The sequence below is a fragment of the Homo sapiens genome, chromosome 18 (assembly GCF_000001405.40).
Source record: "Homo sapiens chromosome 18, GRCh38.p14 Primary Assembly".
NCBI lineage: Eukaryota > Metazoa > Chordata > Mammalia > Primates > Hominidae > Homo > Homo sapiens.
In genome coordinates, this window is record NC_000018.10 from 73,553,815 (window position 1) to 73,580,601 (window position 26,787).

Here is a 26,787-nt window from a genome sequence, read left to right on the forward strand (position 1 = left end):
AGAAAGAGAGAAATATTCTAAAGCCAACATAATCATTTAATGGGAAAGCCCTACAGAAACAGTCCAAGTCAATGGACTTGGTCAAGGTCAATGACAGGATGACTACTATTTCCACTGCTATTTAAGATACTTCAGTAGGTACTAGCTAATGAACTTGGACTTCAGAAAACAATTGGAGACATAATATGCAAAAAAATTAAACATCTCAATACACAGATGACATGATACTATTATTCATCAGAATTCTATTGAAACAATAGTAAAAGAAACCAAAACACAAAAGAAGTTAAAGTAGCAATATACAAAATTAACATAACATTAATAGCATTTGTATTCACATATAAAAACCAGTTAGAAGATACAATGAATGAGATAATCCCATTTATAATAGCCATAAAAATCATAAAGCATTTGGTTATAAACTTAATAAAAGTGTTTAAAATCTATAAAAAATTATCAAATACTTCTTAAAAATTAAAAAAAAGGCCATGAACAAATAGAAAGCTGTTTCTTGTTCTTGGTTATGACACTTCTACATCATTAAGATGTCAGTTCCCCTCAGTTAATTTATAAATTTAATGCAGTTTTAATAAAAATTTCAATGGGAATTTTTTAATGAACATAAACAAGTTTATCCAAAGTTATTTGAAAAATAAAGATACAACAATTGCTAGGAAAACAGTAAAGCAGAAGTACTCCAAATCCCATTCGTTGTTAAAAGTTAATAAAAAGCCTCTATAAATGTAGTTGTCGTGCATGCATAAACAGACACAATAGAATACAATGAAAAGTTTAGAAATAGATTTGGCTGCACTTAAAAATCTACTATTTAATAAAAGTGGTGTCTAACATCACTAAAAAGGTAGCAATTTGTAAAAGATCAAATTAGGTCTATTCCTCACACCATGTATGACAATCAATTTCAAATGTATCAGACGTCTGTATGTAAAAATGAGATCTGCAAATACTAGAAGAAAACACACATTACTCACAACCTGGGTTTCAAGAAGGGATTTTTAAGCCTGACTAGAAATATCAGTGCAGTAAAAAAATTGATAGATTTTACTGCATCAATTTTTAATTACAAAACATTGTAAGCAAAGTGAAAAGATAAATGACAAACTGGGAGAAACCACTGGCAACATGCAGCGCAGACCACATATTAAGGGCTACTATGCCAAATTCATATAGAAATTCTAGAAATTGAGGGAAAAGGGCCAAAATTCTATAGAGAAATAGATAAAACATGAACAGACAATTCACAATTAAAAATATTAAAATGGCCCTCTGTCATATAAAAACATGTTCAACTTTACTCATGCTAAGAGAAATTCAAGTTAAAATGATACAGAGATGCTGTTGTTGCTCATCCAATAGGAAAACACAATTTTTAAAACTAGACACATGCACATGCGTGTTCACTGCAGCACTATTCACAATAGCAAAAACATGAAATCAACCTAAATGCCTATCAATGATGGACTGGATAAAGAAAATGTGGTACACATAGATGGTGGAATACTATGTAGCCATGAAAAATAATGATATAAGATCACTTGGAGGGACATGGATGAAGCTGGAGGCCATTATCCTTAGCAAACTAATGCAGGAACAGAAAACTAGATACTGCATGTTCTCATGTATAAGTGGGTGCTAAATGATGAAAACACATGGACACATGGAGGGGAATACACACTGGATTCTATCAGAAGGTGAAGGGTTGGAGGAGGGAAAGGATCAGGAAAAATAATTAATGGGTACTAGGCTTAATACTTGGGTGCTGAAATGATCTGTATAACAAACACCCATGAGACAAGTTTACCTACATGTACCTACAAGTACAAACTTGCACTTGTACCCCTGAACTTAAAATAATGTTTTTTTAAAAGATAAAAACATTTAAAAAAAAACTAGACAATACACTTTTTCAGTGAGATTTGATAATGCCTTAGGGAAACTATCATTACTATCATTCCCCATAGACATTGCTGATGAAATGAAAAATGGGATATCATTTCTGCAGGGAGATTTGGCAGTATCTAATAAAAGTATATGTACATGTACACGTAGACCCTAAGTGTGTGGGCAGCCTAAAGCACAGCTTCGAAATACACAGCAAAACTGATAGAACTGGGGGAGAAATGTGAATGCTCCTTTCTCAATACCTGATTTAAAAAATAGACAGAAAATAAGTAAGGATAAAGCAAATCTAAACAACACTATTGACCAACCTGATTTTATTGACATTTACATAATAATCCAGCTAACAACTGCAAAAATCCACATTTTATTCTAAACATTCTCTAGTGCTTTATAGATGAGGAATCCCTAAACAAAGATGATAGATAGATAGATAGATAGATAGATAGATAGATAGATAGACAGACAGATAGATATAGATAGATAGAGATGGATAGATAGATAGATGATAGATAGATAGATGGAAATTTGCTATCAAGGATACAATCCAAAGTTATAGAATATTGACAATAGATGAATTATATAATTGACTAATGCTAGTCCATTAAAATCTATAATTTTAGAAAGACTGAAACCATATAGATTATGATTAGAATGACATTAAATTAGAAAATAAATTTGTGCTGAAAATCTCTAAATATTTGAAAATTAACACAGTTACAAATATACATTAGAGTCCTTAGAATATTAATCACTGTTGTTTAAATATCCAGTCTGATAATTCTAACTTCTCTGCTGTGTCTGGTTCTGATTCATGCTCTGTTTTCAAAATATATCTTGCAATATTTTCTTGATATCTGATATCTGATAACCAGACCTGAGGTACCAGGTAAAAGGAACTGCTGACCACAGGTCTTGATTAATGTGGTGGTAAGGTGTGGCAGAGTGGAAGTGTTCTACAGTCCTCATTTTAGGTCTTGGTCTTTTTTTGGGAGCCTGTGCCTGGGGACTGGGAACTTCACAGTGCCTCTCAGGTGGGACGTGATGGCTAGAGTGTGCTGGAGTTGGGCATCTCCCTCCTCCCACCTCTGCTAGGCTCCAGTAATACCCCAGCCTGTTAGGGTCTGGTTAACCAGGTTATCTTGCAGGCAGGCCTGGTTAAGAAGAACAAAGTGCCCTCGTGTATTTCAAAATGGTTCCTTTCTCCTCTCCCTAACAGGAGCACAGAGGGATTTCCCCCTCCTAGTGAGAATCTGATCAAGCTCCTGGAGGATTTCCCCTTTCTATTTACTGTGAGAATCTGATCAAGCTCCTGGAGGTAAAATTCACAAAAGTGTGTGCCTTCCCGCCACACCCCACATGACTGGGTCCTGGTGGAGTTTTCAACTCTCAGACTCATCTACATGGAGCCTCCAGCAATTCATCACTTACAGCTCGGGTCTGCCTGGCCTGTCACTTGTTCCCAAGGTGGTTTCTGCTCCTGTCTGTGCTCTGGCAGCCGTGATTCCATGTATTCCCATCTGTCTCTCTGGACTTGGGGACAGCAGTTTTCCCTGTGTCTTCATCTCCCTTACAGACCCAAGAAGAGTAGTGTGCCTTTCAGTCTGATCAGCTTTCTACTCGTTTTTAGGATGGAGTGGCAACTTTCATGCTCCATACATGCAGAACTGGAAGTCCCAATGCTCATTTTTTAGATGAGAAACCTGGGGTCTTGTGGGGTAAAGGAGCAAGCCCAAAGTTCAGATAACCAGTGAGTGCTACAGCCAGGATTTAAATCTAGATGTGGCTCTATAGTACTGCAAGTAGGAGCCTGTTCAAAACAACTCTGACCACATTAGACATGTATACATACATTCATTTGTTACTACGCCATTGCAACATGAGAAATGGTTTAATGTCCTGGGTAAATTTGTTTGATAACTACATACTCTTTCCTTGTTAAGGCCAGTTTCTTACCTTCCAAGTATTTTGCAAATGTTACCATATAAGAACTACTCATCCACTATTTTAAAATTTATTTTACTGGTAAAAATTGAGATTCTATGAATTTTTCTAGTTCTACTATTCTGTAACTTCGGATTTTATCCTTGATAGCAACTTCTATCTATCTATCTATCTATCTATCTTTGCTTAGGATTTCCTCATCTATAAAGTGCTCTTGGTCCTAATTTTATATTTTATTTTGTTTACATCATGACGATAAAGTCAAGATCTCAGCAGACAGAAGCTTGGAAAAAATAGAAAGAATGTTAGGCCCCTGATCACTAACACAAGCTTCAACTACTACTACTACCTCTATTTCTACTACCTCTTGTGGACTACTACTATACTACTATTACCATTACTACTATTGGTTACCTCTTACTGGTTACTTAAAAATGTTGAACACTGAGAGTTTTACACACTTGCACACTGGATTTCATTGAATTCCGATAATAGGTTGACACTCTTTTATGAATTGTAATTTTCTGTGTGGCTAAAACAAAATATGTTAGATGCTCAGCACAAGTGGTGGAAATAAAATTATAACCAGCATTTGTGTCCAATATTTAATTATTTGGAATCTCACATGTTATGATAATCATTACCTAATTTCTACAAGTATCATTTCCAATCTTGGTCACCTCATATGATTCCAAATATCCATAATGCCAACCAACTTAGTTTTCTAACAACTGTAAATTCATAAATACTTCACATTTCTATGAATTCCCAACATTGGAATATAGCCCTTACTGAACATCCAGTCAGTTCAAGATAGCAGCTGACCTGGTGCTCCTAACAAACCATAGTCTTGTCTGGAGCTGGACCTCCACCCCTGGTCTCTGTAAGATACTCCTCCAGGTATCATCCAGTGAAATCTAGACCTGTATTTCAGCCCTTTTTCACTCTGTAAAATACTTGCTGTCAAAGTAAGACTTTAGTGTAATTTAATCTCAGATTTAGAAGAAGAGAACTATAAAAACAGCTTAAATAATCATTCACCTCCCCAACAAACTATAAAGGACTATAAAAAGTTATGTAAGTTGTACATTATAACCATTGCCACACCCTGGATGTGTGTCTTGCTGTCTACTCACTAGTGTTATTTTTTTGTAACACAGGAGAAATAATCTCAGGTATTTTATTTGAAAATATAATCTGATTGTGATTCTTATATTTATAATTACATGTATTTATTCAACTAATATTATTCAACCTGCACTTCCAGGAGCAGTGCTAGTTATGCTAGTAAAAATATATTGGGCCAGCCACCAAAAGGCAATAGACTTCTTATTAGAAAAATAGTATGTCGTATGTCTTTAGCTATATTTGAAAATAAGTTCCAATAAGCTTAGAACTTTCTTTGAAACATTTTTTGGAAAACATAATCTACCATAAAGCAGAATGTAACGCAGTAGATCTAAATTGAAATAAATAGTTTTATTATGTCTCCCCTCTGAACCTTTATTGGGGTTGTCTATATAATTTGGGGCAGGTAAACATCCTAGCTTGCTAGTCAGTGATATTAAAATTGTTTAATTTTCATTTTATAAAACTGTATCCTTTCTATAAAGTTAAATATATTTTCTTTCTGGCCCTACCTTTTATGACTTTCTCATTTCTCTGCATAATGACCAGTTTATTTTACTAACCTGGTTATTCCGTCTTCTTCTTTAACCAGTTTACCTGGTGATTCCTCCATACTCTCAGTTCACATGCCAACTATCTGTGAATGTTAAAATATTGAACCCACAAATTCATAAAGGCCTGTAAGGTCATATTATCCACATTTTCTCTAAGTTCCAAGGGAAAGTCCATATTTGAAACTAATGGGAATGTTCGAAACTTCTCAGGGCAGGAGACTGACTACATTAAGATGCAAGCTAACCATTGACTAGGTCTTCCCATTTATTAGAAAATCTTTCTTATGTTGACGTCACTTGTTACTTGCTCATTTTTCCCCAGAAAAAGAGGGTTTTTTTTTTTTTGAAGCCACAAAGGAGAAACTTCTCCTATATAAAGTATTCCCGAGTCCCGTCATGTTGTTTTAAAGTGCACTGTTCTCAGAGATTCTCCAAACTCTGCCACCTCTGTAACTAAATGACCACACTGTGTGGGCATTGCTGTGTGTGAGGCCCATTAGCTGTGAGGAAAAGAGGTTCACTCTTTACCTAAAATAATGGAGACTTATTATGAAAATCTATATAGAAATGATGAAGGCAGAAATCTCTAATTGAAGAGCCAGGCATCAAAAAACAAACAAACAAACAAAAAAAAAACAACCATGGAAACAACAGCCAGGCAGGCTACAGAGATAATAAAAAAATAGAACAGCATTCATGGCACACCATGATTCCAGCAACTGGGCCATTTTATTGCTCCCAGTACCACTTCAGAGGCAGAGTCCACTGATCACCTTCTTCAATGCTATGACATTTTCCAATGCCCCTGTCTGTACTTACACATTTTAACTTACACTGACTCCTCTCTCTCCTGCCACCTTCCACCTTCTCGTGATGTCCAGGACCACAGATTTTGTTTGTTTGTTTTGTTTGTTTTTGTTTTTTATACCAAGTTGTTGCCCAGGCTGGAGTGCAGTGGCACGATCTCAGCTCAACACAAACTCCGCCTCCTGGGTTCAAGCAATTGTCCTGCCTCAACCTCCCGAGTAGCTGGGATTACAGGCACCTGCCACCACGTCCAGCTAATTTTTGTATTTTTAGTAGAGACAGGGTCTTGCCATGTTGGCCAGGCTGGTCTTGAACTCCTGACCTCGGGTGATCCACCCACCTCGGCCTCCCAAAGTGCTGGGATTACAGGTGTGAGCCACCACGCCTGGCCAGGACCACAGATTCTTTATGTGGCTCTCAGATTTTTGCTCTTCTTACACATTATTTAACTTTTCCAAATTCAAACTTCCTCATAGAGAGTTTCAACGAGTAATCTGTGCCTCTTTGCACAAATAATAATAGCTAACATTTATTATCTTGTTCCTATGGATCCATTTTATATATTAGGAAATTGAGATGTAAAAAAGTTACATGTTTCCCAAGGTCATACTGCTGGTATATGTCAGGCAGGACTTGAACTCAGGCAATCAGCTCCTGAGGCTCCACCCTTAACAATTACTGCATATTACCTGAGGTTTCAAATCAGATTATTCCAAGATCACTGGATAGTCTTTGGCTGTTGTTGGGTCTAGTGTCCACCCCTGTATCATCAACTAGAATTAGGATACAGAACACACCACACTCTATTCCCCCTTGCAGAGCCTCCTTGAGCAGTTCTGTAAGCTCTCGGAGGCCAGTGAACTGTGTTAAAAAATAAACTCTATATTCTAATTTATCACATTCAACTAAATTGTAAAAGCAGAAAGCCAATGATTATATTCATTATTATGTTCTATTTCTAGTGAAGTTAGATCTTTTATTATTACTCAGAAACACTTTTTTATGTCCAGTAATTATTTTTGCCTTAAAGTCCATTTTATTAGATAGTAATATAGCTACACGTTCTTGCTTAGAATGTGCTTGGCATATCTTGTTTAATTGTTTTACATTTAACCTTTCTGTATTCTTATGTTTTAGATCTATCTCTTACAAATAATTTATATTTAGATTTCTTAATCCATTCTGTGCTGTTTGTTCTGTGTATCTTTTCTCTATCCTCCCTTGCCTTCTTTTAGATCTTTTATATATACAAATATAAATTATACCATATTTATACTATATATTATATAGTAAAGTGTATATATACTATATATGATATATTTACATATAGCATATACTATATAGTTTATATATATATGCTATATATTTTAGTATATACTAAATATAATACACTTAATACTTGCAGCTATTTACTCTTGTTTGGAAGTTATGTATCCTTATTTTTATCCTATAAGTCATAGGCAGTTTTTAAATGTATTATAATTTAATATTACTTAATAACTTTAAAATCTTTCAGGACAATAGAAGAAACTGAGAACACTAATTCCGTTTACTACTTCCCAACATACATACTACCAGTGTTGTATATTTTAATTCAACATTTGTAAAATACCACAAGGCATTATTATTTTATGTAGTTAAATTAATATAGAATTACCCATACATTTGCTCCTTTTTAAAAATGTTTCATCCTAGAGCTTCTATCAAATCAAATTTTGTCACTCTGAGGTAAATCCTTCAATATTGACTCCAGAACAATTCTTCATCTTCTCTCTTTTATTCCTTTACAGAATCTCATTAAAATTATGTTAGACTTTCTTTAATTTGTATGTCACTTGTGTCTTCTCTCTTCTATAATTATTCATTATTTTGTCTTTTCCTGTTTCTCTCTAGAAAATTTCTTTTCACCCATTTTCTGTTTCACTAATTCTCTGTTTATCCATGTGTCATGTGTTTTTGAACTCAAATATTAAGGTTTCAGTTAGAGTTCTTGTATAATTTGTTAAAGTTTGGCTTGTAACTTCTTTAAATCTGCATTGTATCTTTTCATAATTTTCACTTTATACATACTCAAGCTTGCTTTTAATTTTTTAATACACTCTTTGTGGGCCTTTTTTGTTTTGCTATTTTTTCAGTTAAAGATTCTGGATTGCTTTTGTGTCTGGTCATCTTTGATCCCGTCTGGACAGCAATCATAAAAAATCTGTAGAAATAATTTGAGGCTTATAATAAAAGTACTTTTTCTAAGGAGAGGATTTATGTTTGCTACTATTGGTTACCTGGGGGAATTATTTCAGGACAACATTAAGCCATGTTAAAGATAAGGTTTTCTGGATTTTCTAAGGCACACGAAACAATGCTAAAAGTCATTCACAAATGGTTATCATAATTCCAGTTTGTCTTTACCCAAAATGTGAAATGTGTGTCCCCCTTGGTGCCAAATAAAAGTGAAAAGGATATTTATCTGCTTTCCCTCTTGGGTAAGCCCTGAGCTTTCACTCACCACCTTTAGCCAACTAGACTTCAGAAACCTTCACTTATAGGCAAATAACCCTTCAAGAAAAATGGTTTTGAATTGTCCTCTTACATTTATGGGTTTTATTTTTTTTTCCAGTTTTTTTGCCCTATAATTCCTTTCTATCTTATTAGCTTTTAGAAATGTTTAAGAAGGTTAATATATTTCATTCAGATTTATAGTTCTTTTTTTCGCTTTTATTTTAAGTCGAAGGCTACATGTGCAGGTTTATGGTATAGGTAAACTTGTGTCATGGGGGTTTGTTGTACAGATTATTTCATTACCCAGGTATTAAGCCTAATACCCATTAGTTATTTTTCCTGATCCTCTCCCTCCTCCGACACTCCACCCTCCTAAAGGCCCCAGTGTGTATTGTTCCCCTCTATGTGTCCATGTTTTCTCATCATTTAGCCCACTTTTAAGTGAGAACATACGGTATTTGGTTTTCTATTCCTGTGTTAGTTTGCTAAGGATGATGACCTCCAGCTCCATCCACGTCCCTGCAAAGGACATGATCTCATTCTTCTTAGCAAAAACATTTTTCTTAGCTTTTCTAGCCCACCATTAGTTGAAGTGAATATTCACAATATTTCTAATATATGAACTTTCAGGTACATTTCATTGTTTTTCCAAAATTTAACAAAAACTTGTGATGAGAAGTGTGATCTTTGGGATTTTCTGAAAATAATCATGACTGGACTTACCTTCAGGTATTCTGATTCAAAAGATCTGTAGTCACAGTGGGGATTTGTGATGTTGAAGAAATTTCCAGTTGATTCTGCCATGAGCTCACTGACCGACACCCACACAAAGAACATCAGCAATTTGAGAACCTCTGGTTCAAATTATACACTCTCCATAGAGAACTTCAAACTTTGTCTCATCTAGCATTCCTGATGCATTAATCACACTCCCCAACACGTTCCCCAAATCTGTCATAGTGGCTCCCAGTCACAAGGACTTTTCTCAAAGGTAATGGATTCTTAGGGGCAGGTAGATTCGTAGTTTGAAAGAGCCCCAAGGAGAAATACAGTATCTTTCTCACCTCACTGTGCGTTGAATATAAGCATTATCCAGACTGCTTTAGTCAGGTAAACTGCAATTTTAGAAACCAAGGAAACATAATGATTAGATCCCTTGTGTGTAAAGATGACAGTCTGCATCCCCTCATGACTTTGTATTCTTTATTATATTTATAGTTTTGTTTCTTTTCATTTCAGATGGTGACGCATGCAGATAGAAGACAAAAGAGATCTTAAAAATTCCTTGTTTTCCCACAGCCTCTCTGATGCCCCATTTGAAAACAATTGCACAACATAAACAGGAAAAAGTAGGTAGGGTCTATTACTTCCTCCTCTTTAGTGCTATGTGTTTGTGGGAGGGTATGCATATCAAATAGTGATTTCAAAAAAGAGGCACTGAATGCCCTATATCACATTTCACTAAAGTACTGTGTTTATATTGGATCTACTGCCATGTGTCAATTGAAGAAAACAATAAACAAAGCCAAAGAACAATGAAAGGAAATGATATTTAGAACATCTTGTTTCCTGCACTTTTTCCTTAGTCATACAGCCACTCCAGAAGAGGCATCCAACTGGTTTTGGGTGAGTCACATTGAGAAGAACCAGGAAGTTTACTCCAACTCTATGTATGAGACAATGAGTAACTACTCAAGCAGAGGAGGAAGAAACAATGTTTATGCCTCCAAAGAAGTACTGGATAAATGACAAGTTGAAAAGTACACTTTTTTATTTGTCTAAATGTAAGGGGTGCAAATGCAGTTTTGTTACATAGATATGTTGTGTAGTGGTGAAGTCTGGCCTTTAAGTGTAACCATCACCCAAATAGTGTACATTGTGTTGCTTAAATAATTTCTCATCCCTCACCCCCTTCCCACCCTCCCACCCTTCTGAGTCTCCGATGACTGTTATTCCACATTCTATGTCCATGTCTACGCAGAAAATACATTGTCTTCTAATACTCAGCACCTTATATTGTACACAATATGCTCAACAAAAATTCTGTTCCAATTGATTTGTGGGGACAAGCAGTTCAGCTAAACATTCATGAGGGAGAAAAATGGGAATTTCAAAGGTCTCTGGCCTTGTCGTAGGTAAACAAGGGAGCATCTGTGACTTTTATCGAAGTCATATGGGGAAGCGGGATTCTTTCCAGAAAGCTGTTTCTGGAACATAGAAGAGTGAGAGAGATTTTTTTTTTTTTTTCACTTTCATTGTTTTCCAAGGACACAGAGCTCAGGTAAAGTTTGACATTGTCGATAGCCTTCATCATCCCCAACCATGTTAGCCAGTATCCTTGTGATTTCAACGGAGCCAACATCTCCTCTTGCCTCCAAACTATTTTTTCTTATAATCTACAAGATAAATTTGTCTGGATTCAATATTCTGTCAATACTGTAAATGCTAAAATCATTGTTTTAGATACCCCAATCATGAACACAATGATCCTATCTTTTCTGATTATTTGGTAAACCAGTAAATAATCATCACTTGTTATTTGTTTACCATAAAAATCTGTCTTCCAAGACCTACTCAGTCTCCAGTGCAGAGGCCTGAGAAGCAACACATGAAATAATCATCCGGGTGACCCTTATTGTTGGGCACGTTTGAGATAAGTACCATTCTACACCTGTCTTCTCTTCCTTACCTGGGCTTCTCTTAGCCCAGTAGTCTTCAATCCCGACTATTTATTAGAATCATCTATGGAAACTGACAGGGTCTTATTGTGTGCCCCCAAAATTCATATATTGAAATCGAATCCCCAGTATGATGGTATTAGGAGGTGGGACCTTTGGGAGGTGATTAGACCCTGAGAACAGAGCCTTCCTGAATGGGATCAATATCCTTATAAAAGAGTCTGCAGGGAGTTATTAGATAAACCCTTCCACTATACAAAGATACAACAATAAGATGTCATCTATGAACCAGGAAGTGAGCCTTCACCAGACAGTGAATCTGCCAGTACCTTATTCTTGGACTTCTCAGCTTCCAGAACTGTGAAAAATACATTTCTGTCATTTGTAAGCCACCTAGTTTATGGTATTTTGTTATAGCAGGCATAATGAATTAAGACAAACCTTTTAAAAAATACTGATGTCTGCACTCCAGCTTAGACTAATTGAATTAAAACGTCTTCTGGTGCTGGGATTCCAGCACAGGTAATTTTTAAGAGTCCCAGATGATTCTAATGCTCAGCCATGGTTGAGAAACAAGATTCTGCTTCTCTGATCTCTTTTCTTCAACTCCCCTCCCTGTCCCTTCAGCTCTCTTTCTTTTTGTCTTCCTTACATGTATCTAACTTAGATTCCATAATCCATCATTTCACTAAGTTTCCTGTCATTATTTAAAACTCACCTTCCTTTTGTATTTTGATTGAGTATACCTGTCAAAACCAAAGCTGGATATCGTGGTTCATGCCTGTAGTCCCAACACTTTGGGAGGCCGAGGCAGGAGGATCACTTGAGGCTAGGAGTTTGAGACTAGCCTGGGAAACATAGTGAGATACTCTCTCTACAAAATTAAAAGAATTTAGCCAGGCGTGGGCATGCATGTCTGTAGTCCCAGCTACTCAGGAGGCCGAGGTGAGAGGGTCCCTTAAGCCCAGGAGTTCAAGGCTGCTGTGAGCTGTGATTGCACCAGCACACTTCAACATTGGGGAAAAAAACAAGACCCTGACTCAAAAACAAAACAAATCACTACTTGAATCTTAACCATTGAGCAGTGCTATAGAAATTATAATTATTGTGCAAATAAATAATACCACAAATTAAAAAAAAAAACAACTCCCCAATTATCCTATTGAATTTTTTCAAGCCAGTGATTCTCTGGCTTGAAAATGTGGCCTACAGAATAGAAGTATCAGCATTACCAGATCATTTGTTAGAAATGCAAATCCTTGGAACTTTTTCTGGACCAAACCGAATCAGAAACTCTGGGGTTGAGCCCTAGCAATCTAGGATTCATCCAGTCCTTTAGGTGATTCTCAAGTGAGTTAAAGCTTTTGAACCACTGTTCTAAGTAGCATGCCCTCTTTCTCTTTACAATAACGTCTGCAGTTTTTCTGCTTTGATTGACATTCTAAACTGTTTATCCCTTTATGTTTTAGTAGTCCCCCAAACTCTGATGATTTTCTAACCACATTTCTTGTTACCTTACCCTCTACCACTAAAGAGCTACCTGTATGCCATCAGCTTCCAGCCCTCCAGCTGGCCCACTGCACCTCTGTTTGGCTGGCCTGGTCCCTGCGCATTATAGTGGCAATAGCAGGCATGGAATGTGGGGAAAGCAACAGTGTTTATGGTGTTGGGGCCACAGCAGGCATATGCCCAGCACCCATTTGGCTGCCTGAAGCCGGCTTCATACCAGCTCTTTGAATTCCCCCCAGTCACCCTTGTTTGGCTGCCTATGAAAATGTAACCATGAAGGGTGCCAACACAGCTGAAAGATTTTTGAATATTACTCCTGGCCTCACAGTGCCCATCCTCTTAGCTGACAGTCTCACTTACTATTTCACAGATTGTGTATATATCTGTGTGTGTGCCTGTGCAGAAGCACATGTGCGCATGTGTGTGTGTGGTAGTCATAGTCATTAGTAGTCACTTGGAGACAGGGACTGCAACCAAACCTGTCACTCCACCTTTATCTGCTCTAACTTATCTCTACCTGTGATAATCTGTGCTATGAATTTTACTTTATTTTAGTATATCAGGGGCTGGAATTATGACTATATTCTCCCATTCCCTTCTTTATCGCATTCTTTATACTGCAACCAGTGAAGTCTTTGTAAAACACAAATGTGAGCATGGTGTTACCCTGCATGAGAATCATTCAGAGACCCTGCCTTACCTGGCTCTTGCCTACCTGTGCCTGCCAGTCCTGCCACTTTTCTCTGAGATCTCCCTCCATCTGTCTTCTTTCATGTTCTCAGTTGTATCAGGCATCCTTCCACTTCACAGGATGTGCTCTGTGTGTAGAATGCTGCTCCTTCACTTTTACGACAATTATTTTACCTTAATCTGACCAGATATTTTACTGGCACAACATGAACTGAATAGGAAGAAAGCTAGCTCAATAAGATGATAATTACTGGCTATATTTTAACATTCATATTTTGTTTTTTCTATAATGAACGTGTGTTGTTTGCATAAAGTGTTTTAAAATATATTAAATCAACAAGAAGAAAACAAATGAAACCAATGATAAAATTTTAATATATACATACTCCCAATTTTTATGAGTGCTAAAGTAGACTTTTAATATATAATCCTTCTATATATGCTGACTTATAACTTATTTCTATTTTAAATTACTATATATCAATATATTTTAGTAGCAATATATATGTTTTATATCATTATTTTTAACTGCTACATAGTATTTCCATATAAGAAGATTCCATCATCAATCTCCTATTGCAGAGACTTAAGGGTCTTTCAATTTTTCACCATTATAAAAGCTGCTGAGGTCAACATTCTCATGTGATGATTTTGTGTTCAATCGTGACTATTTGCTTAGCATAAATGTCTAGAAATACAAGTGGTGGATCCAAAGATAGATAACATTCTAAGGCTATTAATTTCTGAAAAGATTTTAATAGTTAATGTGAAATTGTTCACTGAAAGAAGATCCTCACTCAATAATTTTTATAATTGTTTATTTCCTTTTATGCTAAAAAATAATGGTGCCTTTAAAATCACTTGCCAATTTGACGGTTTATCACCAATTTCTTGGTGTTAAATTTAGACTTACTTCTAATATTAGAATTTATTCTAAAAATATCACTGAGACTTTTAAGCAGAATTGTGTAAAAGTTTGTTAAATTTTTAAGTAATTAATACAGAGTTAGCTACTACAATATTACTTCATCTAATTCAGAAACATAGTTGTATGACATTCAGTAACATTTTATAGTATCTTCATACTAGTTTTCCTATTATATATTATAAATATTTTATGTTTATTTATATATTATAAATATTTCTCATGTTTATTTATTTATCTAGATGTTTTATAGTTTTTATGCTATTGCTAATATATAGCATTCATCATATAATTTGACTTCATTACTGGTACATGGAAAAGTTCATAGTCCTAGCATCCTTGACATGATTTTTTATTTATTTGTAATTAAAAATAAAGTAGCCTTCTTTTCAATCATTATCGAACATCTCCTTAACTTATTGGGCAGGTGAGAAATTCTGGAAAATTGTTACTGGCACAGCACAAATAATTTGTGCAGATTTTCTATCCTCAAGAGGTAATATACAACTTTCAACTCCTTACATGCGGGTTATATTTTGTGGCTTCCTTCCAAAGAGTACGGTGGGCGAAGGGTGAAAAATGAGTAATAATACAGTGGTGAAAGCTGACAAACAGCACTTCAGCCAGGTGATCAAGATTGACACCAACCATGATAAGTAATTTGATGGTTTGTTATATAGGGATTGTAAGACTGACAGAATGGACTTTTTTGTGGTAATAAAATACTGTTATAATTCAGGCTTAAGGCCATGTAAGGGTTAAGGAACACTCCCCTACACTTAAAGAATAAATCTGTTTTAACTGTCATGGGATTTTTTTCTTTTTCTTTTTTAGCAGGTAGACAAAAACTGGCCTTTAATATAAACAATATTAAAATAATTATAGCTCTCCAACTGCCAGCTACTCACTAACTGGCTCTCCTGTTTTGCCAATCATAACTATAGTTTTGATTGAACAAGAGACTGATTTTAATAATTTTTTTCTGAAAAAATTAGAGACAATGAACTGGTTCTGACTGGTTTACAGAGGCTGTACACCAATTATCTCCATGCCCCTGCTTCACCTTTTGATGTATAGGGTCTAATTGTAATACATTTAAATGTTACATCTCCATCCCAAAGTAAATGTAAGATGCATGTAATGTGCCTATTTGCTTATCATGCATATGCATGTCCCCCCTTCATAAATATGCATAACCCCCTTATACCTGTTAAATATGTATACTTGGCCGACCCTTTCAACATAAATTCCTGTTCCGCCCTCCCTTCCCACAAAGTGCCATCTTCCAGTCTCTGCCAGAGGTTATGCATGCCTCCCATTCTGTCACGATGGCCAATCTGCAGGCTGTAACCATATATAAGAAATTAAGTCTCCTCTCCAAATTTATAAACCTCGTGATTCTTCAGTTCACAGTATCCTTGATTTGTAACCTTGACATGATATGATGAGCATGGCACTTTACTTCTGGCATCTCCATCTCAAAACCCATCACCACCATCTAATCATGATGAGAACACAAAAATAAGGGGCACTTACAAAATACCTGACCAGTACTCCTCAAAACTATCACGGTCATAAGAAGAAAAAGGCTGAGAAATGGTCACAGCCAAGAGGAGCCTAATGAAAGCTGGAGGATTAAAAATAATGTGGGATCCTGGAACAGAAAAACGACAGTAGGTAAAATCCAAGGAAATGTGAACAAACTACGGACACTACTTTAAAATAATGTTATCAAGGTTGGTTCATTAATTTGTAACTAATATACTATAAGGATGCCAGGTGTTAATTATAGGAAAATGATTATGAAATATGTGAGAACCCTGTACTAGCTCTACAACTTTTCTGTAAATCTAAAACTGTTCACAAATAAAAAGTGTTTTTTTTAATGAAATAGTCACATTTGATACAGAGAAAAATCCAGTAAACGGATGCTACTTAGCAGTCAAAGTTTGAAAATGAGGAATGGAGACTAATAAGCAACAGAAATGTGACACTTAACCAAAAGAAATTGGATGTAGTAATATTAACAGCAGACAAAATTAAATTTAAGATAAAAAGCACAAAAAGTCCTAAAAGCAGATCACTCTTATTGACCAAGTAGCTAACCAAGAAGATATTACAGTTGTCATCTTGTGAACATCTATAAATATGTCCATAACTGGTATGAAAACAAAAACCTGATGGACATAAAGAAAGGCTTGACAACTCCAAAATCATAGCACAAACATTGTATACCTCTCTTTCAGAAAGAAGATAAAATATTATTAAGAAAACAGAAGATTTGGATATCGAAAGTAACAAGTGTTATCTAACATGTACACAATATGAGTATCTGATTCTTGTCATGTAAATATGAGATGCTTTCAATTTTTGATCACATAATGACTCACGAGGGAAATACTCATAAATTTTAAAAATTATAACATCATAGAAACCACATGCATATAAATTAAAAATCTACAATCAAAAGACTTTTAAAATCCTATGTGTAACATTTTAAAATACAATCCTTACATGTTTTTGTTCCATTCATATACAATATTTTGCAACAAATCTCATAAAACTCAAAACAAGGATCACGTTCATTCTGATGTACCCACAGAGGCCCAAAAGTCAGGATTTGCGTTATATGTCGGAAAGCATCCTCATGCTAGCAAATTTAACACTGCAAGACACTTTCTTCATTTATATATATAAATACACAAACATGTGTATGTATATAATATATACAGTATAGTATATACATAGTATATGTGTATGTGTGTGTTTTATATATATATATCTTTATCTGTCCAGCATTGGTCATTGTTTTCAGATAAATACCATCATGCAATTTGTGCACATTCGAAAGGACATAAATTCCTTGTTTTAGGGAATAAAATTAATTCATGTATATATGGGGTAATACCTATATAACTCACTAGGCTGTTATTATGGATTAAAACATAAGTAAAAATGCATTGTAAGCTACAAGAAGATAAAAAATAGACAGCATTATGTTAATTTATTGGCAACAACTATTACTTCCAAGCTGGTAAATAACACTATTCACACCAAAAGAAAGGCAAAGGATGTACTTTGATTTTTTTATCTATACAGATTTTCAACAAAATTAGTCCCTTAGGGACGTTAGCCACTTGCTGAAAATTACCCTCAGCATATTCGTTTGCCCTCAACTTCAATAGAGAAAAACATCTTAAGCTTTACGAAAAATATGTACAATCAAATGCCCTTATTATTAAATATTCAATGAAGTGTGTTAAAGCTGTCAAAAGTAATTGATGGCAAACATAACGATTCACCACAGGCTATAGAGTCACTAAAATTGGTGCCACAGCAAGATAAAAATATGAAACGTTGAAAGAAAGCATGCACATTCCTGTTAGTAATACTTATACAGAAACTTTTATTTATTTTACTCTACTTTTCATAAGTCACTTTTTTCTTGCTGAAAAAGTGAAAGATAGATTTTCTGCTTCAAATTAAGAAATTCAGTAATAGAAAGATAGAATTCAGTAATGCACCTATAGCATTCATCCCAGTGCAATGTAAAATTTTGCATCTAATCTTACATACCCAAAACAAAGGTAAATGTCAGGATAAAAAATGATGGATTTACAAATGATAATACCTTCACTTGGTGTGTCCCAGTTAGAGTATCCAGACTGAGCAAATACAAGTATGAGATGCCTAGTTAATCTGAATTACAGATGAATATTTTTAGTAGAATTGTGTCCCAAATATTGCAAGTATATCCTATTCAATATTTAGGATAAACTTCTACTAAAAATTGTTCATTTGTGTATCTGAAGTTCAAATTTAACTGGCTCTTCTCTGTTTTATCTGACAGCTCTAAACCCAGTGAACCTCAAGTATTCATTTACCAGCTCTGAAAAGAAACATATAGTCCACTGAATGAGAAAAGTTTGGAACATTTGATCAAATGATCACAAAGCAAATGAATCAAAATCACACAGAAAATTACCTACACATTGCCATGTGTGAATACAGAAGGTAACCTGGTTTTAGGAGTGCACATTGGAGTCAAAGATTTAAAGTTTCTATTCTGTGTTTCACCCCTCACTGTATGGGTATCATAGGCCTGTTACATACTCTTTCTTAGCCTCAAGCTTATCAGATTTAAGGTGCGAATAATATTTTTATATTTGTTATTACCATAACATTGCTCAATAAAAATAGACATGATATAAATGTTTGTCCCACTTCTTTTCATTTTGGAGAGCATTAGAAGGCCCCAGTGATTTCAAAATGTATTCTTTTATTGCCAATTTTTATTTAACTTCATATCATTAGAATATTTCTTAGCTATAAAAGCTTTAGTCCTTTAAAAATTGCAAGTAGTAAATGTAAGCTGCTGACTCTGGAAGCTGTTTACAACTTAGTGAAGCATGGGAAATCCAGGTGTTTTAGTCTGTCCTGGGAGAGGTCACAATTTTACTGAATCCTTATGCAAAAGGAAGAGCTCGAGGGTAGTTAAGATGTGGAAAGACAAGCTTGGATTATCTTTCCATTTCTCCCTCGCTTATTCTTTTAGGACTATTGAGGCGTGTGTGTAGACAGCAAAGCAACTTCTTAGTGCAGTTTTGTTCTGAGAAAGATCTAAAATAACTCATTTGAGATCAGAGATATATCAAGAGGTTCACTTTCATCCTGGGCCCAGCTTGGGTGGGTCTGGAGTTTAAAAACCATGTTTAGAGGAGGGAACCTATGCCTTTATACAACTCTAGGTCAGGGTAAAATTTCATTCTATTTTATCAGATCTTCATAAGATCCTGGGGGCAAGGTGTCTAGCAAAGTTGTCAGGGTTTGTTATATGTGAGCCAATCGAGCAGATCTCTTGAGGAAGAAAATTGAGAAAAAGACATAAAAGATTTAAGAAATAAAGGGATGGATCATGAAAGGGATCACCTTTAATGTTCGGCCTGAGATATAAATACAATATGGTTATTCCTTTTCTTAATACCTTTGGTTTCTGAGGTGTGTGTATGTGTGTGTGTGTGTGTGTGTGTGTGCGCGCGCATGTGTGAATGGGATTCTTGAAGACATGAGGTCAATGGTCCCCAAGTGTATATTAGAGTCACATCTGAAAAGGCTCATTCCTGCAACATCAAAAGATTCTCCTCACACAGGATAATGTGGCTACAACTAGAGAAGAAAATTAAGCCAGCACATTTTAATTTTGTTTTCCTAAAGCCTGAAGAACCTACAATAAGACCCTAAAATGTTATGTTCCAGAGTTGAGTATGATTTTTTTACCTCTTAGCCTTTAAGATGTGTGAATTTTTAAAATACTTTGTCTAACCGGTGCCAACATAACAGTTTGGAGACAAGACACTGAAGTAATATGTTTTCTACATATTGGTTTTAGTGTTTTAATGAGGACAGGCTTATTGTTAAAGCATGTGGAAATTAATTGCTATAAATCTAAGTAGTGGTAGAAGAACACTTAAACTAAGGTAGTTATTGTCTCACAGATGTCTTTTCATTTCTCACCATCTGATTGTCAATGCTAACATCATCTGGGAGGTACTGTGCCTAAGCTATTGCAGCAGTATTTGAAGTGCAAGGAAATCCTCTAGGACACTGATTAATAATAAATGTACTGAGTTTTGAGGTGCAATTTGAATTTAGATATATTCTATAACATAAAATGTTGAGATGACAGTTTATCAGAAATACATTACTAAAAGTGAAACCACATTTTAATTTATTTGTTATATTGTCTATTAATATAATCTGTTGATATCTTCTATGTATATAGTCATAGATATATATATATATTCTGTTTCATCTTGTCTATTTTAACTAGAATGTAGATCAACAGAGAACAAGTACACTGCTACGTTCACAGTGGAATATTTATTAAATAAAATAAAATTTATTAAATCTTTGGATAATTATTGCTTTTTAAAAATATTTTATTTTACTTTTGGCTGGGTGCAGTGGCTCACGCCTGTAATCCCAGCACTTTGGGAGGCCGAGGCAGGCATATTATGAGGTCAGGAGTTCAAGACAAGCCTGGCCAACACAGTGAAACCCTGTCTCTACTAAAAATACAAAAATTAGCCAGGTGTAGTGGCGTGCACCTGTAGTCCAGGCTACTTGGGAGGCTGAGGCAGGAGAATCACTTGATCCTGGGAGGCAGAGGTTGCAGTGAGCCAAGAGCTTGACAATTCACTCCAGCACTCCAGCCTGGGCGACAGAGTGAGACTCCGTCTCAAAAAAAAAAAAAAATTATTTTACTTTTTACAATGGACAGGTAAAAGTGAATGTATTAACTGTATACAACATGATGTTTTCAAGTATACATACTTTGTGGGATGACTAAATCTAACTAATTAACATATGCATCACCTCATATAGCTATCACTTTTGTGATGAAAACACTTTACTTGCAATGTCTTCGCATTTTTTGACAATAGAGGATAATTAGCTACAGTCACCATAGATCTCTCAAACTTATTCCTCCTAACTGAACATTCATATTCTTTAACCAACATCTGTCCACCCAACTCCAACCCACCCAGCCTCTGGTAACCACCATTCTACTTTCTACTTCTATAAGATCAACTTTTTTAGATCCTAGGTACAAATGAGGTCATACGGTATCTTTCTTTTTGTGCTTGCTTATTTCACTTAACATAATTTCCTGGAAGGTTATCCATGCTGTTACAAAGGACAAGACTCTGTTATTTTTCAGTGCTGAATAGTATTCCTACCATATTTTCTTTATTCATGAATCCATTGATGGACACTTAGGTTGATTCCATATCTTGGCTGTCGTGAATAGTGCTACAATGAATATGAGAGTGCAAATAACTTTTTAACATACTGATTTTTCTTTCTTTTGGATATATTCCCAGTGGTGGATTGCTGGATTATATGGTAGTTCTATTTTTAATTTTTTGAAGAACCCTCATACTGTTGTCCATAATGGCTCTACTAATTTACATTGCCATCAACAGTGTACAAGGGTTCTCTTTTCTCCACATCTGTCTAACACTTATCACTTGTCTTTTTGATAATAGTCATTCTAATAGGTTTGAGGTGGTGATTTTAATTTGCATTTCCCTGATGATTAGTGATGTTGAATCTTTTTTCATATATACCTGTTGGTCATTTGTGTATCTACATTCAGATCATTTGCTCATTTTAAAATCAGGTTACTTGTTTTCTTACTATTGAGTTGTTTGTGTTTCTTACATATCTTAGATATTAACCCCTTATCATATGTATAGCTTGCAAATATTTTCTCCCTTTTTTTGGTTGTCTATTCAATCTGTTGATTGTTTTCTTTGCTGTGCAGAAGCTGCTTAGTTTGATGAAATTCCATTTGTCTATTTTTGTATTTCCTGCCTGTGCTTTGAGAATGATATTTGTAAAGTCATTTTCCAGACCAATGTCATGGAGCTTTTCCCTATGTTTTCTTCTACTAATATGCATAGTTTTGAGTCTTACATTTAAGTCTTTAATCCATTTTAACTTGATTTTTGTTTATAATGAGAAATGAGCCTCTAGTTTTATTCTTCTTCATGTGTATATCCGGTCTTTCCAACACCATTTACTAAAGAGATCATCTTTCCCCATTGTATGTTTTTAGCTCCTTTGTCAAAATAAGTTGGATGTAAATGCAGAGATTCATTTCTAGGCTCTCTATTCTTTAATATTGCCCTTTGTATCTGCTTTTATACCAGCACCATGCTGTTTTGGTTACCAGAGCTTTGCGATAAATTTTGAAGTCAGATATTGTGATGCCTCCAGCCTTGTTCTGTTTGCTCTGGATTGTTTTAGCTATTCAGGGTCTTTTGTGGTCCCACAAAAAGTTTGTGGTTGTTTTTTCTACTTTTATGAATAATGTCATTGATACTTTGACAGACATTATATTGAATCTGTAGATCACTTTGGGTGGTGTAGACTTAACAATATTAATTCTTCCAATTCATGAACACGAGATCTCTTTCTGTTTGTCTTTGTCTTTCTCAATTTTTTTCATCAATATGTTATGGTTTTCAGTATCCAGATCATTCAACTTTTTGGTTAAAATTCTTCCTAAGTGTTTTATTTATTATTTTTTGTAGCTATTGTGAATGGAATTTTCTTGATTTTTTTCGGGTAGTTCAATTTTAATATGTAGAAACATTACTGATATTTGTATGCTGGTTTTGTATCCTGCTGAATTTGTTTGTTAATTCTAACAGTTTTTTGATAGAGTCTTCAGGGTTCCTGTATATATAATTGTGTCATCTACAAACAAGGACAATTTAACTTATTCCTTTTCAATTTGGAATTTTACTGCTTTGATTTTGGAAGTAATTAATTAGGTAAATTTTCAGTAACAGACAACATTTCATTTTACCAGCAAACAATGATGGATTTCAAAAAGAAATCCCGCTTTAAAATAAATTAAATCTACAAGATATCTTGAATGCATGTTCTATAAGGCAGGACATATTTAGCAACCTATTTAGGGGAAATTACCTGTGGCATATATCCAACTACTATATCTTTATTCTAAAACTTCAATTAAAAACAACTAGCAAATAAAAAATGAATATTTCTCTACTACAAACTAAAACATTTTTCTTCATCTTATGTGAACAGGAGATATTACTTCATACCTAGTGAGGAAGTCAGCCTAGAAGTTGCAGGATTTTCTCCCTTTGCATGGGAAATAGGACAGCTAGTAAATTTCCTCTAGAAATCACACCTTTTATTCAGAGCATCAAGTTCAGAGATATCTGAGCTTTCTGCAAATGGAAATTTACAGCAAGGCTGGAAAGTGGGTACCTTTTGATAAACAATAATTCATGTTGAATTTCTGGCTGCCTCCTATTTTAAAGTAGAGTGGTATTGTCTTTTTTCCCCTTTCCACTCCATTCTGACCCATTTTTTCTAGATTATTTCTGAGAAATTCAATTTCCCTTTTGTTTTCTCTATCAGCTTATCACAGCCCTGGTTAGTAGGATTAAAGGAAGACTACTTTTTTCCTAATTTCTTATTTTCTGTTCCCCAACAAAGGACTATGCTTTAGCAGATTAAATAGCAACTGACAACTCATCTCATTGGGAAGGATTAAACTGTGTCATAGTAGCATTTTGCATGAACTGCATTCCAAGTATATTACAGCAACTTTTGGCTGCTTATTTCTTTCACTTTTTCGCCACCTTTTTTTTTTTGCTTTTAAAATGGTGAAGTTGTATATATTATTTGAAAAAAATCATCAAATGATAGATATAGTTTTAGAGATGGCATTAAAAGCCTACATACATTTTATGATTATTGGAAAATAATACATTTGTCAAATTTTAAAATAATTCTTCAGAGTATTTGCTCAAAGCTAACATCTCAAATTAAAAATTGAGCAATGTTATTACATTTCTAATTCTTCATTACATTTTTTATTCTTTAAGAGTTCTCAAATATTATATGCAATACTTCAGTAATCTCAACTATCGGTTTTTTATTTATCTAGGATTTCACTTTGGTAAATCTCACTTCCTTAAAAATGTAACATGATATCACTCTTCATAGGAGAGCAACTGAGAATTTGCTATCGGAAAATAATACTAACTTTTACTCACAATGGTAACGCTGGCTTGGATGCCTAGGCTGAGACTATAATCCAAAAACACAGTTTCATCCAAATATGCATCAAAATTCAAAGGCAAGGATTCAGTTAGAAATCATTTATTCAACCTGAAAGGGGAATCCAACAACTTAAGGCTAAATATATAATGAGTTAAAGATGTTCAAACAGCCTATTTCAATGAAAACGCAAGTCAAGAGTAGTTCTTCAGCCCATAAATGAGCATCTTTAATAAATCTCTCCAAGAGAGGGGTGTCCTGCAGAGTAAAGGAATTCATAGGAAGTCCTGGGTAACTCCCACTTCATCAGATCTACTCTCCACCTGCTGTAAGTCCCGTGAGCTGACTCTTCAAAAGGACCCTCTTGCTTTCTGGCCCTCAGTTCGGTTCAGCCTATCAGAATACTAGCAGGGACATGTAAAAGCAATGGCAAGAATGACAAACCATGAAGAACCAACTTAAACTCAATTTAAAACATAAGGGGCATAAGGGGAAGGCTTTGTGACATTGGTCTGGGCAAAGATTTTTTTGGGGTAAGACCCCAAAAGCACTGCCTATAAAAGTGAACATAGACAAATCGGGTTGTATCAAACTAAAAAGCTCCTGCACAACAAAGGAAACAATTAACAGAGTGAAAAGATAACCAATGTTGTGAGAAAATATTTGCGAAATATACATCTGATAAGGTGTTGATATCTAAGATACGTAGGGAACTCAAGCAACTCCATTTAACGAGTTGCCTATACAAAGTAAGTTATTCCACATGGCACTTCCAGGCATAAGAATTCTACCAGCAGGAACCAGTGATAAGATGAGTGAGTTCTTCAGGTTGTCCTTGGTTTTTTGCCCAATGTACAACAAAGTTAACTTCTAGAATGAGCCAAGAAGGCAAAACCAATCTGTATATCATAAATGTGAAAAGTTAATAATAAGTAGAATGACCACAGTGAACTGCAGGGAAACAGTAAAAGCTACCTGTAGAATTAATATATTATTTATAATAGGTTTAAACTGTTATTGATTTTAGAAAGCTGCACAATATTAATTTAAGGCAGTTGTTGGAGTTACAATGTGATAATTTTATTCTTCTCATTCCACCTCCTGCTTAATTTTCCTGGTTAATTCTTGAAAACCAAGCCTGGTGATCTTTCTTTTGTCATTAAAAATATGTCTTGCAAATTTCTCTAGCTAGAGTAGATTTATAACAGCTTCATAGTATTACAAGGAAAATGTGAGCTGTTTCAAGATAGGTGGCAAATACTATATAACTGTAAAAAGCAAAAATGCAATATTTTATTGCTGATTTACAGTGATTGTGGATTACTTCCGATTAAGATTACCTGACTTAGCAAACAAAATGTACAGGATTTGTAGGACACTTAGTTAAATACTCTTTATTATAAGTATGTTCATGAAATATTTGGAGCATACTTACAGGAAAAATAATGTTGGTATTTATCGAAATTCCAATTTAACTGGGCTTCCTGTATTTTAATTGGCACGCAATCTTGGATGTTTATTAGTCCTCTACAGCTTGCACTTTGACCCTCAAACCAAATACGTTGTGTTTATGAAAGTCAATTCACAAATCCCATGTAAAAAGGTTTTTAAGATAAGAAGCATACAGAAAAAATACATAATTGTAAACTCAATAAATTTTAACCATGTAAAATGTCAAGGTAATTGGCACACAGGTCAAGGTGCAGAATATTCTGAGACCTTAGGTATGTTCAAGCTGTGTCCCAGTCACACCCACCCAAAGATAATTCTATCTCAGCAAAACTCATTTTATCCTTGAAGTGCTTGAGAGAGGGTATCAAGAATGAATTAGGGATTTTCAGCACCCTGGGCAGTGTCTGTCACATGATAGAGAGTATATGTGAGTGAATAATTTAATAAATATGGCAAAATATTAATACCTGTAAGTTTTGCATAGAAAATTCAGAGTATCATATTATTCAATCCATTCATTGAATGAGCTTATATTGAATTCCTACTTTGAACAAGGTTCTGCTTAGGGACAAGTCATTGTCCTTATAAAGGCTTAAGTAAAAGACATTGGCTCAGAAACTGTATGTTGTCTAGGAACCGTGACCCACTGACTCACTTTTCTTTTTCTCACAACTTCCACTTTGCTATTTTAGTGAAGATAAGCAAAGCTGTTGATGAGTGAGATTAAATGACTTTACTAGGAGTGACTTGCATTTGCCTTTTTTTTTTTTCTATTTTCTACCCTAGGCCTTGCTAATTGGGCATTACTAATATAACACTACAGCATGTGTTTGACTAGATTAGAATGAAATTAGAAGTTTTGGTAAGAATAGTCATCCTTCCCTGTAAAGGGTCCACTGGCTAATTTTATAGAGGCAGAAAGTGAATAAAGAATGAGCCACCGAGTGGAAAACAGTTGGAACATTCCAGTGCGTGCTTTATACTCCCTGGACAAGTTGATCAGTGATGACATCTAGCATCATAAGTCATGCAAACTTTCTCTTATCCCAAGGTTATACTTAGGATGTGCGTTTACCTG

At 34.9% G+C, this 26,787-nt stretch overlaps 1 long non-coding RNA gene across 2 annotated transcripts in view, besides 1 other annotated feature; it reads right to left on the minus strand.

Moving 5' to 3' along the window:
• LOC105372190 (uncharacterized) overlaps positions 1-26,787 on the minus strand; it is a 312,925-nt gene that overhangs the window by 175,448 nt on the left and 110,690 nt on the right. The gene's annotated exons all lie outside the window — the stretch shown is intronic.
• Positions 9,741-10,940: an enhancer, noted in NCBI's record as "CDK7 strongly-dependent group 2 enhancer chr18:71230790-71231989 (GRCh37/hg19 assembly coordinates)". NCBI's record gives its function as "activates an origin of replication core promoter dependent on BRD2, BRD4, P300/CBP, MED14 and CDK7 cofactors, with strong dependence on CDK7, by STARR-seq in HCT116 cells {active_cell/tissue: HCT116}" and the evidence as "EXISTENCE:reporter gene assay evidence [ECO:0000049][PMID:35650434]".